The 15,362-nt window shown below is 33.6% G+C and overlaps 1 long non-coding RNA gene across 1 annotated transcript; it reads left to right on the forward strand.

Moving 5' to 3' along the window:
- The first annotated feature begins 2,111 nt into the window (after positions 1-2,111).
- On the forward strand, positions 2,112-14,055 carry LOC105374141 (uncharacterized). The gene is made up of 3 exons (XR_924559.4): positions 2,112-2,246; positions 8,981-9,026; positions 12,472-14,055. It is a non-coding gene; the product is annotated as an uncharacterized LOC105374141 (long non-coding RNA).
- Positions 14,056-15,362: the final 1,307 nt, after the last annotated feature.

Below are 15,362 nucleotides of genomic sequence, written 5' to 3' on the forward strand. Positions count from 1 at the left end.
ACCAGTACCATGCTCTTTTGGTTACTGTAGCCCTATAGTATAGTTTGAAGCTGTGTAGCAGCTTTGTTCTTTTTGGTTAGAATTGCCTTGGCTATTTGGGCTCTTTCTTCTTTCTATATGAGTTTTAAAATAGTTTATTTTAGTTTTGTGAAGAATGTCAATGGTTGTTTAATAGGAATAGCACTGAATCTATACATTGCCTTGATTAGTATGGCCATTTTAATAATATGTTCATTGCAGCCGTATTCACAAGGGCAAAGATATGGAATCAACCTAAATGTCCATCAAAGATAGACTGGATAAAGAAAATGTGGTACATATACATCATGGAATACTATGCAGCCATAAAAAAGAACAAGATCATGCCTTTGCAGGAACATGAATAGAGCTGGAGGCTCTTATCCTTGGCAAAATAATGTAGGAATATGAAACCAAATACCACATCTTCTCACTTATAAGTGGGAGATAAATGATGAGAACACATGGACACATAGAGGGGAACAACATACACTGGGGCCTACTGGAGGGTGGAGGGTGGGAGGAGGGACAGGATCAAGAAAAATAACTAATTAATAGTAGGCTTAATACTTGGGTGATAAAATAATCTGTACATCAAACCTCCATGAAATGAATTTTCCTATATAACAAAACTGCATATTTACCATTGAACTTAAAATAAAAATTACATAAAAATAATAATAAATGATTAAAAAAGAAAAAAGAATAAAGCTTTTATAAATATTTGTCAACACTTTTTAATATCTCATTGATAATTATAGAGGAGTGTAGGTGCTGGATCATTTCATAAAGCAATAGCCACCATTTTCCAAAGCAGTTGTACCATTTTACCTTACCACCGGCAATGTAACCTTCCATATCTTTGTCAACATTAGGTATTGTCAGTTTTTAAAATGTTAACCATGTTTTTGAGTATACAGTGGTTTTAACGTGTTTGAGTAATGTTGAGAACTCTTTCATTTACTTATTAACTATCATCTTTTGTGACACGCATATTCTTATATTTTGTTTATTTATGAATTGATTGTTGTTATTAATGTATTAGACTTTTAATATCTTCAGGAACCAAGTCTTTTTTTCTGGTATGTGCATTACAAATATTTTATTCTGATCAGTGTACTACCTCTTAATTTTCATAATATCATCTCTTTCAAGGCAAAGTCTTAAATTATGATTAATTTTAACATCAATTTTTATTTTCTGGTTTATCTTTTTGTGTCCTATATAAAAATTCCATACCTGTTACAAGGTGGCAAAAATTTCTTCCTGTTTTTTTTCCTATTTGGATATGCAGTTTTTTCAGTAACATTTATTGAAAGGACATTCTTCCATTGAATTACCTTTTTGCCATTACTGGCCTCTAGTGTATGGTTTTTATTTCTGGACTCTATTTTATTTCATTTATCTATCTATCCATCTATCTAATGTGTATCTGTGTGTATGTGTATATATTAATGTGTGTGTTTGTGTATATATACATGTATATCACACACACACACATATATATGTGTATATATATATATATATTTTTCCCACCAATACCACAATCCCTTGATTACTGTAACCAAGTGTGAGTCTAGAGGACAGGTGGTGTAAGTTCTCTATATTTTCCTTTATAAAACTGCTTTGAATTTTCTAGATTTCTTGCATTTCTATAAACCGTTAAAATTAGTTTGTGATTTCTACAAAAATCTATGAAAATTTTTATTTAGATTGTTTGAATCTATAGATTAATTTGTGTCAATTTTGGAAAGTTGTACTTCCCAAGGAATTTGTCCATTTTATCTAAGATACCAAAATGTTTTGGTTTAAAGTTGTTCATGATAGTCTTGTTATTCACTTAATGTGTGAGGGATCTGTAGTGATAACCCCTATTTCTTGATATAGGAAATGTATGTTCTCTCTCTTCTGTTTTGTTTTTTTGAGATGGAGTCTTGCTCTGTCACCAAGGCTGGAGTGCAGTGGCGCCATCTCGGCTCACTGCAAGCTCCGCCTCCCGGGTTCACTCCATTCTCCTGCCTCAGCCTCCCCAGCAGCTAGAACGACAGGCGCACGCTGCCATGCCCGGCTAATTTTTTTGTATTTTTTTTTAGTAGAGACGGGGTTTCACTGTGTTAGCCAGCATGATCTCCATCTTCTGACCTCGTGATCCGCCCGCCTCGGCCTCCCAAAGTGCTGGGATTACAGGCGTGAGCCACTGCGCTTCTTCTTGATCAATTTAAGCCAAGGTATATTAATTGTATTGATTTTCTCAGCAATCATACTTTAGCTTTATTAATATATCTATTTTATCTTTTATTACTTTCTACTGAAATCTTTGCTATATCTTATTTTTTTTACTTATTTAGGTTTACTCTACTTTTACTGTCAAGCAGCTTAAAGGAATATATTAGACCTTTCTTCTTTTAGAACTTTCCTTCATTATAAAATAAGCATTTTCAGTCAAAAATTTTCTCTAAAATACTGTTTTAGCTATTCTGTATTTTTATTATCATTTGGTCTGAAATACTTCTAAAATCTCTTGTGATTTCTTTTTTGAACTATGAATAATTTAGATGTTCATTTTCTAATTATTTAGTAACTCCTTGACATCTTCTTGCTGATTTTTAATTCCATTTTGTTCCGATAGTAAGCTCTATGTCATAGCAGTATTTTTAAACCCATGGAAATTTGTTTGTGGCTAGGCATATAGACTATATGGTTGAAGTACATTCATTTAGAAATAATATGTCTCCTCCTGTTATTGGGTGATCCATAAAACTCAATTTGGTCAAAGTGGTTTATATCATTGTTAGGATTATCCATGTCTTTTGTAATATTTTGGTTAATGTTCTATCAATTGCTTAGAAAGGGCTGGTGAAATTTCCTACAATAATATAGAGATTTTTAAATTTTGCCCTTTAATTGATGAACTTAATTTTAGCTTCATATATTTGAAAGCCTTGTTATTAGGCACATAACATTTATGCTTTCTAAGTCTAATGAGTTAACATTTTCATTATAAAGCATCCCCCTTTATCTCTGGTAATAGTCTTGTCTTAAAGTTAACTTTGCTTGTTATTATACTCAATAAATTATTCTTAAGTTATTCTTTTCAAGGTACAGTTGATTCTAACTTTCACAAGTACGTTTTGTAAAGCTGTCATGTAAACTAAATTAAGGAACATTGTACTATTGCTTCTAGGGAAAAGACAGGGTCAGGCTTCTGCGGTTGCAAAATTTTCATTCACCTATCAATAATAACCTTGTCTAATGCGTGTTTCTGTTAGAGACACCTCTAATATATTTATTTAACTAATTTTGCTTAACTAATAATATTTAACATATATCATTCTTCCCTGAACATTGAACTCATAGTCCACAGCACTACAACTTATGCCTGAATGATTTTCTAACACACGTATATTTCCTTTAAGGGGCATCACAGCCTTCTTGCACTTAAAAACACTAGACAGCACTTCAGCACTACATTTAGGGGCAATTTTAAACAGAAAAATCACCAATAAAAGCACAGAAATAAAAAAAAATGTGGCACTAAATAAAACGCGAAAGAACACTTGCTTATACTATGAAAGCTGAAACAAGAAGTCAGAGAGCCACTTTGTTTTGACCTCAGCGGGGAAGATGTGCATCAGGCAACTCAATTTTTTGCTGCTTTGCACATGTCTGCTAATGATCATGAAAGCATTGTAAGTATTGATTTGGTAATTACAAGTATTGATTTAGAATTTACAAAAACAGAATCTACAAATGATGAGTATTGATTGTATATACTTTTTTCACTTATGTGTATCATGTACTTTTGGTTTACCTGGGATTTTGTATTTAAAGTTAATGTCAACAACACAGAATTGGGCTTGCTTATTTATCCATTCTGGCCATCTCTGCATTTAACTAGAGTAATAATTTATTCACAGTTGATGTAATTACTTATATGTCTGAACTGAAGTATAAAATGTCATTATTGGTTTTATTCTGTTTGTTGAGTCAGTGATCACTTTGCTCTCTTTTCTCACTTTGTTTGAATTATTTAATTTTGTAGAAGTCTGTCTTAATTTACCAATTAGATTTTTAGCTACCCATGACTTTTATTGTTTGCTTCAGTTAAAGGATTCCATTATAAATCCTTTAATTTCCACAGTCTATTTATACCTAATATTGCAATGCTTCATGTAAAACATAGAAAATATTCCAATTTGTAGTGTTTTTACTCCCATCATTTTTTAGAGTATAGTTATCAAAGGCATTTTATATAGGTATATATATATATATATCCATATGTGTGTTTGTATCCATATATATCTGTGTGTGTGTATATATCAAAGGCATCATATGATATATATTATGATGCCTTTGATAACTTTACCATAAAGAATGAACTATTCATGAAACATATATATTCCATGAAAAATTATTATAATTTCAAATTTATAGTCAAAGTTGTTTAAATTTTTAATGATTTTTTTTTTCAACGGAGTCTCCCTCTGTTGCCCAGGCTGCTGGAGTGCAGTGGCATGACCTTGGCTCACTGCAGCCTCCACCGCCGGGTTCAAGTGATTCTTCTGCATCAGCCTCCCGATAGCTGGGACTACAGGTGCATGCCACTATGCCAAGCTAATTTTTGTATTTTTAGTAGAGACAGGGTTTCACCATATTAGCTAGGCTAGTCTCAAACTCTTGACCTCGTGATCCGCCCACCTTGGCCTCCCAAAGTGCTGGGATTACAGGTGTAAGCCACTGCACCTGTCCAATTTTTAATGATTTTTATTAGTTCCTAAAGATATGAATTCCTATTGCAGTCTGAAGTACTACATTTACTATTTATAATAGTGAATTTCTGCTGGAAGCACACTGTATTGGTTTTCTTTTATCTAAATATGCTTTATTTTGTCATAATTTTTTTAATTAAAATTTTATTTTACATTCAGAGCATACATGTACAGATTAGTTACATGGGTATATTGTGTGATGCCTCTAGCTTTGGGCTATGAATGATCCCATCACCTAGGTAGTGAGCATAGTACCTAATAGGCCTTCATTATATCTGAAGCCAAGTCCGCAGTCCACAGTCATTCAAATCACTGTTTCTCTGTGTTCTAATTACCTAATGTTGCATAAAACCTCCCCAAAACTTAGTGGTCTAACACCAACAGCATCTATTCTTCTCATGAATATACACTCTGCAGGGCTTGGCAAGGATTAGCTCCTCTATGCTCCACTCGGTGTGTACTGGGATGGCTAAAATGCTAGGGCTGAAATTATCTGAAGGCTTACTCACATAATGTCTGTTACCCGTTCTGGGAAGATTTAGCTATGAGCTGAAACAACTTGATCTCACCTGGTTCCTTCCTTCATTCTAAACTGTAACTTACCTAGTTTATCAGATCATTCCGTCTCACTTTTCCTATGTGACCTGGACCACCATGGTTCTTTGCAAGTTTTATCCATTGTGGTTGCTGCCATCATGACCTTCATAACTTTCTATGGAAATAAAGAAAATAAAATGAAAAGGAAAATGTATAGAAAAGCACAGAGTTCGGTTAGATGTCACTCACCAACGTGTTTAGGAGAATTGTTATGTTTGTCAACCTGAGGTTGGAAATCTTCACAAAACATATTTCAGTAGATGAGAGAAACGTTGCTTTTAAATTCAAGATAGAACTTATTTTTACCTTCCTGGATTGCTTTAAAACATTGTTTTTTTGTTTTGTTTTGTTTTTTCAGAAACCACTCAAGCTTATTTTGCGATGAAAAGATGACCATCAATAATTTCTGTAATTTATCAACAAAATGGCTTTGACTTGCACTCTTTTCTTTATTTTTGTACTTGGGTCTGTTATTTGACTTCCTTTTAGCTTTTTTTATCTGGAAGACATCTTCTATACTTTTCTAAACCATTTTGCTCTTGTTTTTTTAATCACAGATCTTTTTAGTTCTTACTGACATTTCTTATTTTCCTTTTGAAATTTTACCCTCTATAAGATTAGTCTACTCCCTTGTTTGGCGTGAAAGATTTACTGTGGAAGAGGACAATATATATATATAGGATTTCTCAGATTTATACTATCCTTAGGAAATGGTAGTATACTAGGAAAAAGCAGTTAATGCTTCACACCTCTCCAAAGCATAACTGTAGTACTAAAATTACACTTAAACATTTACCAAACATCTATGTTCCAGACTTTCTTATTGTCTAGGCATAAACCATTATTAAAACAACTTATTTTGAGGCCATTACAATTTAGCTGGAGATAAGATGACTTAAATACTGTTAAAATACAATATTAGAAAAACTGCTAAGAGAAGTGCTAGACAAAATGGCATGAATGTTTGTTCTTTCTCAATTTTTTAAATTTTAGGGATGAAATAGCAGCAATAATAAATAGTAGTTCAGTTTCTTTAGTAAGTGCAGAAATATAAGTTACATACAACTATTTTACAGTTAGCTCAAAATTATGTATTTCACACAAATACAGATACAGCACAAAGCAATGACTATGAATCACTGATTATGATTCTTCTTCTTCTAAAACAGCTATTTCTCATTTACCAGACCTGGAAATAAAATATATATGCTGAACATAATTTCCAGATTGTTACTTTATTCATGTATTTATAAATATTCCAAATACTCTGGACCCTTTGCAGCTAACATCTTACTCCATGATTTTGATGATATTGCACAGAGCACTCCTAAGTGTACTATATACAGCTAGTCTCATCTGCATTCGCCAGCTGATTCTGATGCTAAAGGTCATCTCCACTGAAACCCAGTGACTGTGTTGTTTGGCAGAGGGGCTCAGCCTGCACTGGAGACCTTTGAAAATCCCATCTAGGGACAACATATAGCTTCCTTTCTTTGAGTTTCTCAGAAGTGCTGTAGTATTCCATTACCTTCTATGTTTAGAAAAAAAGGGACTTGGCACTATGTAATCCTTTTAGGGTTTCTTTGAATTTTTGTTAACTTTTAAAATACTTTCTTGTTTTCCTCTTTAATTTCCTTCTGAAATGGGCAACTGTTGTACCGATAAGTTGCCGGAGGGGGCATTATTTTAGCTATGTATTTTAAAGGGTTTAAGAAAGAATCCACGTTTTCCAATGGCTCCCATTTCACTCAGAGTAAATGCCAAATCCTTACAACAATGGCCTTCAAGGCAATTCATGATCTGGCCCTCAACACCTCTCTTATCTCACCTGCTTCTTCTTCTTCCTTTAGTTTATTCGGCTTCAGCCACTGTTTCTTGCTGCTCCTCAAACACACCAAAAATGTTCCTGCCCTAGACCCTTTCTTGGTAGATTCCTCACATGGCAATTACTTTCCTCAGATAAACTCATGGCTTTCCTTTTTCAAGTTTTTGGTCATTTGTGCCCATGATGTCCACTCTATTAAAGGTGAAATTCACCTATCCATTTCCCTTTACATGGTCTATTTCCTGTCATAGCACCTACTGCATTTTAACACACTGTATCATTTATTTACCCATAATTTCCTTTATTGTCTGTCTCTACTGTTAAAATAGTAGTGTTAAGAGACAAAATTTCAACAAATTTAATTTAAAGATATAATTGCATTTCATTACTAATTAATTAAATGGTCAGTATCTCATTAGAAGATTTAGAAAAGACCCTTTAGTGAGCAGAGCAGAGGAGGTGGACTTCAGAGGCAGAGAAGAGCTAAAGAAACAGAAACGAGATAAAAAGTGGATGAACCTTTTCCTTACAGAGTTAAAACAGAGGGGGCTAACTTATAAGGCTGGCTCAAATTAATAAGTCTCTTTCTATTGATTGTTGTGAATCTCCTGTTTTTGTTTTGTTTTGTTTTGTTTTGTCTAGCCCATTTTAAAGTTCACTTTGATTACTTGGCACTTAGTATAGGTGACTTGATTCTGGTTTGGCCTCGTCTGTTGGGTTTAGTGTAGGAGCTCAGTCCAAAATCATGGCCTCTCATAATTTTAATTTAACAGTACGCACTCAATAAATATTTGTTAAAACAAATTTTAAATGCTAGGAATGTATTATGATAGTTACTTTTTCACAGATCATCTAAGAATTATGGAACCTAGTACACAGAGAGTCTATTCTCTTAAAATAAATTACTTTTTATAAATGTGAGTTTTAGTATAAGACTGATTTCATGCTTAAAATAAATAAGAGGCTTTTCTTGGATATATAAAAGAGAGATTCCCAGAGTGTGTGTAGGGTGGTGAGTCTGGGGTTCCATAACAAGAGATCTTACTGACATTGCCATGAGGAAATGGTAGAACCTCAGGACAATGGCTTCCCGCAGATTCACAGTCTCACGTATGCTGCAGAAGATGCAATGCAAGAGATGCAGACACAGGTGGGCCTGAAGGAACCCTGTAGACTGGGAGATACCAAAGTATACTCAAGGTTGAAGAAAAGGCAAGAGACTGAGCAAGGATTGGGAATTAGGAAATTACACATAATTTTCTATCTGCCAAATAAAATAAGAATGCTGAGACAAAATGAACTTAAGAGTGCAGTGTCTTTGTTTCTGTTTTGGGCACAACTTGGCTTGTGGACTCAGTTTCACATACCCTAGTGAAGGCTAAATTTTTTTTCCAAAAGTAATATGTAATAAATAATATGATATCTCAAGGATACCTCAATGCTAATGACTGGTACATTTTCCCCTATTTTTCCATGGTATTTAGTCTTCCTTCATGTGTGTGTCTGTGTGTATGTGTGTGTGTGTGTGTGTGTGTGTGTGTATCTATTCTCATGTTCTTCATGTCAGTATGCACCTATAATACTATTGATTATCTGGTCATTCTTTATCCTATGGAATTAAAATTCTAATTTCCATGGCCTCAGGTTTAAGTCAGGTGCCTCAATTACTTTTCCACAGCACTCTGGTTATATCAAAATTGTTGACTTCTTTGACTCCTAAATATAATCATCTTAATAGTCACAACAGTGCTTTTGTTATTTGCTTTCACAGTGCTCACAACATACATAGTTGATGATGTTTCTGGGAGCCTCCAGTTGTAAGTATTTTGAGATATATTTTTCTTTAAAATAAATATTAGCAGATTTTTAATAGACAAGTCTATTCTAGTCAATATACATTGACTGCTGTCTGCATTCTAGTCGGTATACATCTGCATCCTAAAACCATGCACTTTCTTCTCTAATCAAGCTGCATCTTTCCACATGAAAAGCCTTAGCAGTATGATTCCCATATCAGAAGAGTCTACATTTGAAAATCATACAAGTTTTAGAAAATTTAAGATTTATGGGTGGTATACGGGATAATTCATGCAAGAGAAGCTCAGGAGTGAACCAGGAAGTATAGACACTTCAAGAACTGGAGAACTGGAGATGCCTAGAGACAGCTTTCTGCCAGCACATTCGCTTTTAACCTCATGTTTCCTCTTTCTGAGTGCCATCTTCAGTCTCTCAAACTGACATGCTTTGTACTCATAGACATATGAATCCATAACTAGAGAGATTTAGGAAAACTCCAGGGAAAGATTCTGATCACATGATGAATGCTGCTGCAGAGTAAAAGAATGGTCTCAACAACTTATGTAACCTCAACCTGGGGTCAAGAGACTGCAAGATTGGAGCCCTGCACATTGCTGGTGTGGGGAAGAGGAGTTCCCTCATCAAAATGAGGTGTCATTGCAGGAAGAAGGAGCATGTAAAAGATGTTGGATTGATTAATGCAACATATATTTTTCTAATAGATATCAAAATGTGATATTCTAAGATATTTTTAGAAATCCCAGAAACTAGGCACAATAAGGAAGTTTATTTAAAATTTCTTTCACAATAATACTCCTCTGGAATACATTGAACTACTTCTAATCAAGAGGAAGATTTTAAAAGATTTTCTTGTTCATTCTTTCCCAAATCCTGTCCTTACATGAAAGCTTAGGTGGAACTGGAATGATTCCCAGTGAGAACAATACTTGTTGAGTTATTCTACTTCCAAACTCCAAAAACTACTTTGAAAATAGGTCTGAATAAAATTCTATAGTCCTCTAATGGAGCACCCCCAAACAGGGTAATTATAACACCTCCTGAGGCTACTAGGAACCAAATCCATTTACGAAGTTACTTAAGTATCTAGTTTTTTTCCACTTCTTTTTAGTGGAGAACAGTTGACTACTAGGCAGCTATGCAATACCTTTCCCAATAAGCAGGTTTTCATTTTTAAAATCAGACTTCCTCATTGTAAACCATGTTGGTAGAAAATTGCCTAAATAATGATATGTTCTTCTCAGATCAATAACCCTTGGTGATGTTTTTACGAATGTAGTGCAAGAGAGTCCAGAGATACTTAAGTTAACATGTGAAAAGTAGAGGGCATTTCTGATCTGCTCTCTTTATTTCACTATAGAAATGGACATGGCAGGTTCAATGCATTATTTTCTAAAATGGCTATTTTCTAATTTTAAACAAATTGATGCTGGCTGGTGGCAAAGAAACCATTGAAGGGGCTACTATGAAATCACTGCAGAAAGTGATGGACATTGATAACAGGGTGTAGGCCTAGTAGAAATGGAAAGAAAGGTATAGTCCAAACCTTTCTGAAACAATATGATGTTTCTACAATATCTTACAGTGACAAAGAGCATGTCATGAATCACGTATATTGATATATAAAAGGATTTAAAAGCCACTGAGTTTCTAAGTGCAGGATATGAAAATATGAAATCTTAATAATTATAAAATGCATTCCTAGAAAGAATACCCACCTTATCAATAAATATTAAATATCACAATCCTTCATTGATAAACATTAATTGACAACCAAAATCATGAAAAACAGCGCAAAAACAGGGTCAAGATGAACAAATGAACAAACTAAACATAGAACAATAAGAATATCAGACAAATCACTGATCAGGTATGACAGTAAAACAAACCTAATTTGGACAGGCAAGACTTAGACGTTGTTTCATTCTCAGACATTCTCTGTCATATTTACTTAAAAGGTACTGTAGCTGTTTTAAGGGGTTCGAGGCATCCAAGAGGGCCTAACCTAGAGAAGTAAAAGAATGACAATTCTAAATGGTAATTGTGAAGCTGGCCTAAAAAGCAATGGGTGCAAATTAAAATAGAAATCATTTGCACTTCTAAAAACAGTCTTTAAAATGTGCTCTATATGATTAAGTAGGGAAGAGGACATTGGGCATAAAGTGAAGTGGCTGTTTAAAGAGCACACAAGGAAATAAGGAAGCAAGTGTATTAACAAAGTGTAGGTGAAATAGATCAATTCAAAATGCTTCTTCCTTCTCCCTCCTTTCTTTCAAAAGTCAACATGCTCTTAACATTTGAGTAAAGAAATAGAAGTTTCAGTGTTCTGTGTACGTATGTAAGTTATAAATAGAATAAAAATGAAAATGTATATATATTGTTAGCAAGGACTTGGAAGAGTACAAGGAAAGAATGGCAGTGTAATAAAGTAACAACTTTTCTGGCAGGGGTAGATTATGTTTAGTACTCAAAAATTTATAAATAGATATATACATATAATATTTGCAGTTATTTAGATAATTATCTGAAAACCGAAAAGGAGACTTTTAAAAAGTGTGTCTGAGTAGAAGGGAAGTAGGCTTTCATTTTCATGTTATATCCTTCAATATTGATTGGATTTATTATGAAGCACATGCATTACTCTTGTACTACAGATAAAACAAATGAAAATGGAAAAATAGTTATATCCCTGATGCATCATCGAGAATGATTACTAAATTGAAAAGATGATGACCTAGCACATTATTATATTTGTATTGCTGCTTACACTTATTACTACCTACGCTACTGGCCTAAGACTTGTATATTCCCACCAAGTGTCATCATCCCTCGCTCCGCTAATGTATAAAGCAACTGTTTTACCCCTTTCACAGCTTTTCTTGTATGACTCTGGTCCAGGCTACCAGTCACTATACCTTTATAAGCAATAATGATCTCTGTGAAGCAAACAGGATGACAGATCTCATTATATTCTTCTTTATATTACAACTTTCACAGTAAAGAAGACACGCTTATTCTGGCGAATCTAAGAACCAGTTTTGGGTTATTACAGATTTCTGTAAAATAAATATATTGGGTATAATACTTAGAAGGCCCAGACAGAATCTTGCATCAGCATTCAGCATATGCAGCATCCTTATCCATTCTTTAGGGCACTTTTTTCTCCTCTGTGATAAAAGCTAGGACTAGGCTAAACTAGCCAGCTTTTTCTTTTCCCTGGAGATAAAAGGAAGTGGGAATAAATTACAGCTGGACTGCTTTCTACATCAAAGAGAGTATGGTGGGGAGTTCTTAAAGAATATTGTTATGATTATCTGTCCTTGGGAAAGAAGGAAAATAAAGCCCATGAGAAAGCTGGAGAATTTGGTTTGTAAAGCACTCTCTTCAGAGGGAAAAAGCAGATAAAGTTTTATACATATCATGATTTATTTCCTTCTGTTATTTCAGAATTCCACACAAGGCTTCACAAAACAGTTGAACCGACAGCGACAACAAAAAGCCTCCCTGCATATAATGAAATGGCCTTAGAAATTATAAAGCCGATTAGAAATGCTGATACAAGAAATGTAGGGAGAAGTTCTTATGTTCATCAAGTGCCATTACTGGCAATGACCTTAAGTGAGGTCGTACTTGTATGCAGCCAGCCTTGGGAACAGGCTGAGACCACTGCTGTGTGCAATCTGTTGATCTAAGTGATATTAAGTGCACACCCAATGTACTGGTTTCTCTCATCGAAAGAGGTACTAAAGTAACTGAACGGTGGGTAAGCCAAGGGTCAAGGGGAATAACTATCTACCCTCACTTACTTCAAGCAAGCACACTTGGACTGTGAAAGGATAAGGTGTCTTGGGTTCAAGAATGAGATACTTTTTTCTTGGGGGAGGTGGGGTAAGAAGTATTGAAGCAGTAGAGAATTGACCTCACCATTTTGTTTTTCTTTTTTTCTATTATACTCTTGATAGGCATTTGTTTCCAGAGCTTGGGTGTAATGAGTACTTAATTCAGTCACACCACGTGTAGTCCCCAGGGAGTTTTAGGATAAATGGCTATTCCTTTTGCTATCTGAGGTGCCATTCTAAACCAGGGCGGGAAATCAGGTTTGGACAACAGTGAAGAGAAAGGCATTGGTTGCCTTGTATGATGATGGTGAATCAGGTATTGATCTTTTAAATAAATCAGAGATAGTTTAGAGGTAGCAAATAAAGGTAAAAGATATTAGACTTGGCAGATTTATATCGGGCTGGTTTTAATTTGCTATGTTTTGATCTCATAAGGGAAGTTGAGATATCCAGCAGCTAACAACTACTATGTGCAATGAGCACATGCTTGAATAATAATTGTTATGTATGACTCACCTATTAAGCAAAAGCATTTTAACAAATAAGCTCTCTATATAATCACTTTATAAGGTAGATACTATTCATCCAATATACAAGATGAGGAAACTGAAGTTCAGCAAGTGTAAGTAATGTACTTAAGGTGACACAGAACTAAGTGCCAAATCTAAGATTCAAATCTAAGTTGTCTGACTCTAAAACCAATTCTCCTCTCACTACACTACTGGACATATCAAGTAATATGTGTTTTAACAATGATCTTTTGTATATTAAGCTTTTTTGTTCCCCTTGAATTTATAGTACCATGAACCTATTCGGCCCATGGAAAGTTAGGCTTTGAAATGACTTGGACTCATCCAATTTTGAGCTTTAAATGAAAGCATTCTATGAATGGTGGCTCCAGATGACATCTGACATCCTAGTCCTCCTCATACTGGCTTCCTCATATCAAAAAGCAAATCAATGGGTATTATCATGAATCTTAGTAAACTCAATCTATACGTTAGTGTTAAGTTCCATTTATGCTTCAAAAATTCAAATAATATCAAAAGAAACAAGCCTAAAATATGGTATATATGTATTATGTTCTTGCAATTGAAATATTTTGAATTATGATTGTTGTTATTGTTGTATTTAAGGGATTTTAAAACTTCATCTTTACAGATATATTTTAATAAAGTTTTTCTGCACTTGACCAATACTACAAATTGTTTATTAATCTATCATGAATATAACATTAAAAATGGAGATGTTGTATGCAGTGAACCCTATCACATAAAGGCAAATTGTATAGGAAAAACATCTACACATATTCCTATAAATTGAAATATTAAATTATCTATTATTTGACAAGAAACTGAGTTAAATTTTTTTTCAGTAAAATGTCTTCTATATTCAAATGTCATTTTAATTGACATATTTTGAAAATATAGTTTACAAAAAAGTTATGTAAATTTATATAAAACCGTTTCAACAAAATATGATTATACTAGTATGCATACATTTGAGATTAAATTCATTTATATTTAGATTTTTAGTATATATGAAGATTACTCTTTTAAAATAATTAAATACTGAAATCAGTTATGGAACATATCTCAATTGTTCCATGAAAATAATTTAGTTCTACATTGAGAAAAGCATAAATAAAATCATCTAAAATAAAAAGTTTAAATCTTAACTATTTACAACATTACCATTTTCAGAACCTGATAAGCAAGACCTACATAATTAATATTTAGTTTTAAAATATTGCTACCATATTTAAAAAGTAATTACACCATTTGCCAATAAATCATATAAAAATATTCTATATTTTTTGTTGTCCATACTTGTCTATGGTTTGTTGTCCATACTCCTACTGTCTATGGAAGTTTACATAAACATTACAATTAAATATGTAGTATTAAGACTATATATAATTTCATGGTGATTTATTTCTAAAAATGTATTTTATCATTGGAATATTCATTCAATGACAATTACAAGTTACTAGGTTAGGTTGCCTAAGAGATGTGTGAATTTTTACTAAAGAAATCCCTGTTCTTAAGTGATTTTAAGTGTAAGTGACTTCTATTTTTATGAGATATTAGCTCAGAAAATCAAACTGCCATTTAATTTGGCTCTAGTGAGCCTATTGTCTTCATTTCATGTCCTTCTTGGGATACATTTTTGTCTGTATTCCTGAGGATTTATTCATAAAATCCCATTAGTATTAATAGGGGTTGTATAACTCTATCCCCTGCACAGCCAGAGGTAAATGAAATCCCTTTGGCATAGTTTTCTAGCATTTAAATGAGTCTTAGGCTTTATAAAATACAATAATGGTGCAATGTTACTAAGGTAAATACTAAGAAGATACGGGAAATGAAATTAAAGGTGCCCTTTATAATGACACTCATGAGGCCATACTTTCTCAAACTGAAAGACACAATTGAGAGAAGTTCATAAAATATCCATCTGATCAACAGTTTTGGCAACAGTGTTTTTTGGAATTTGTAG

The sequence above is a fragment of the Homo sapiens genome, chromosome 3 (genome assembly GCF_000001405.40).
Source record: "Homo sapiens chromosome 3, GRCh38.p14 Primary Assembly".
NCBI classification, from domain to species: domain Eukaryota; kingdom Metazoa; phylum Chordata; class Mammalia; order Primates; family Hominidae; genus Homo; species Homo sapiens.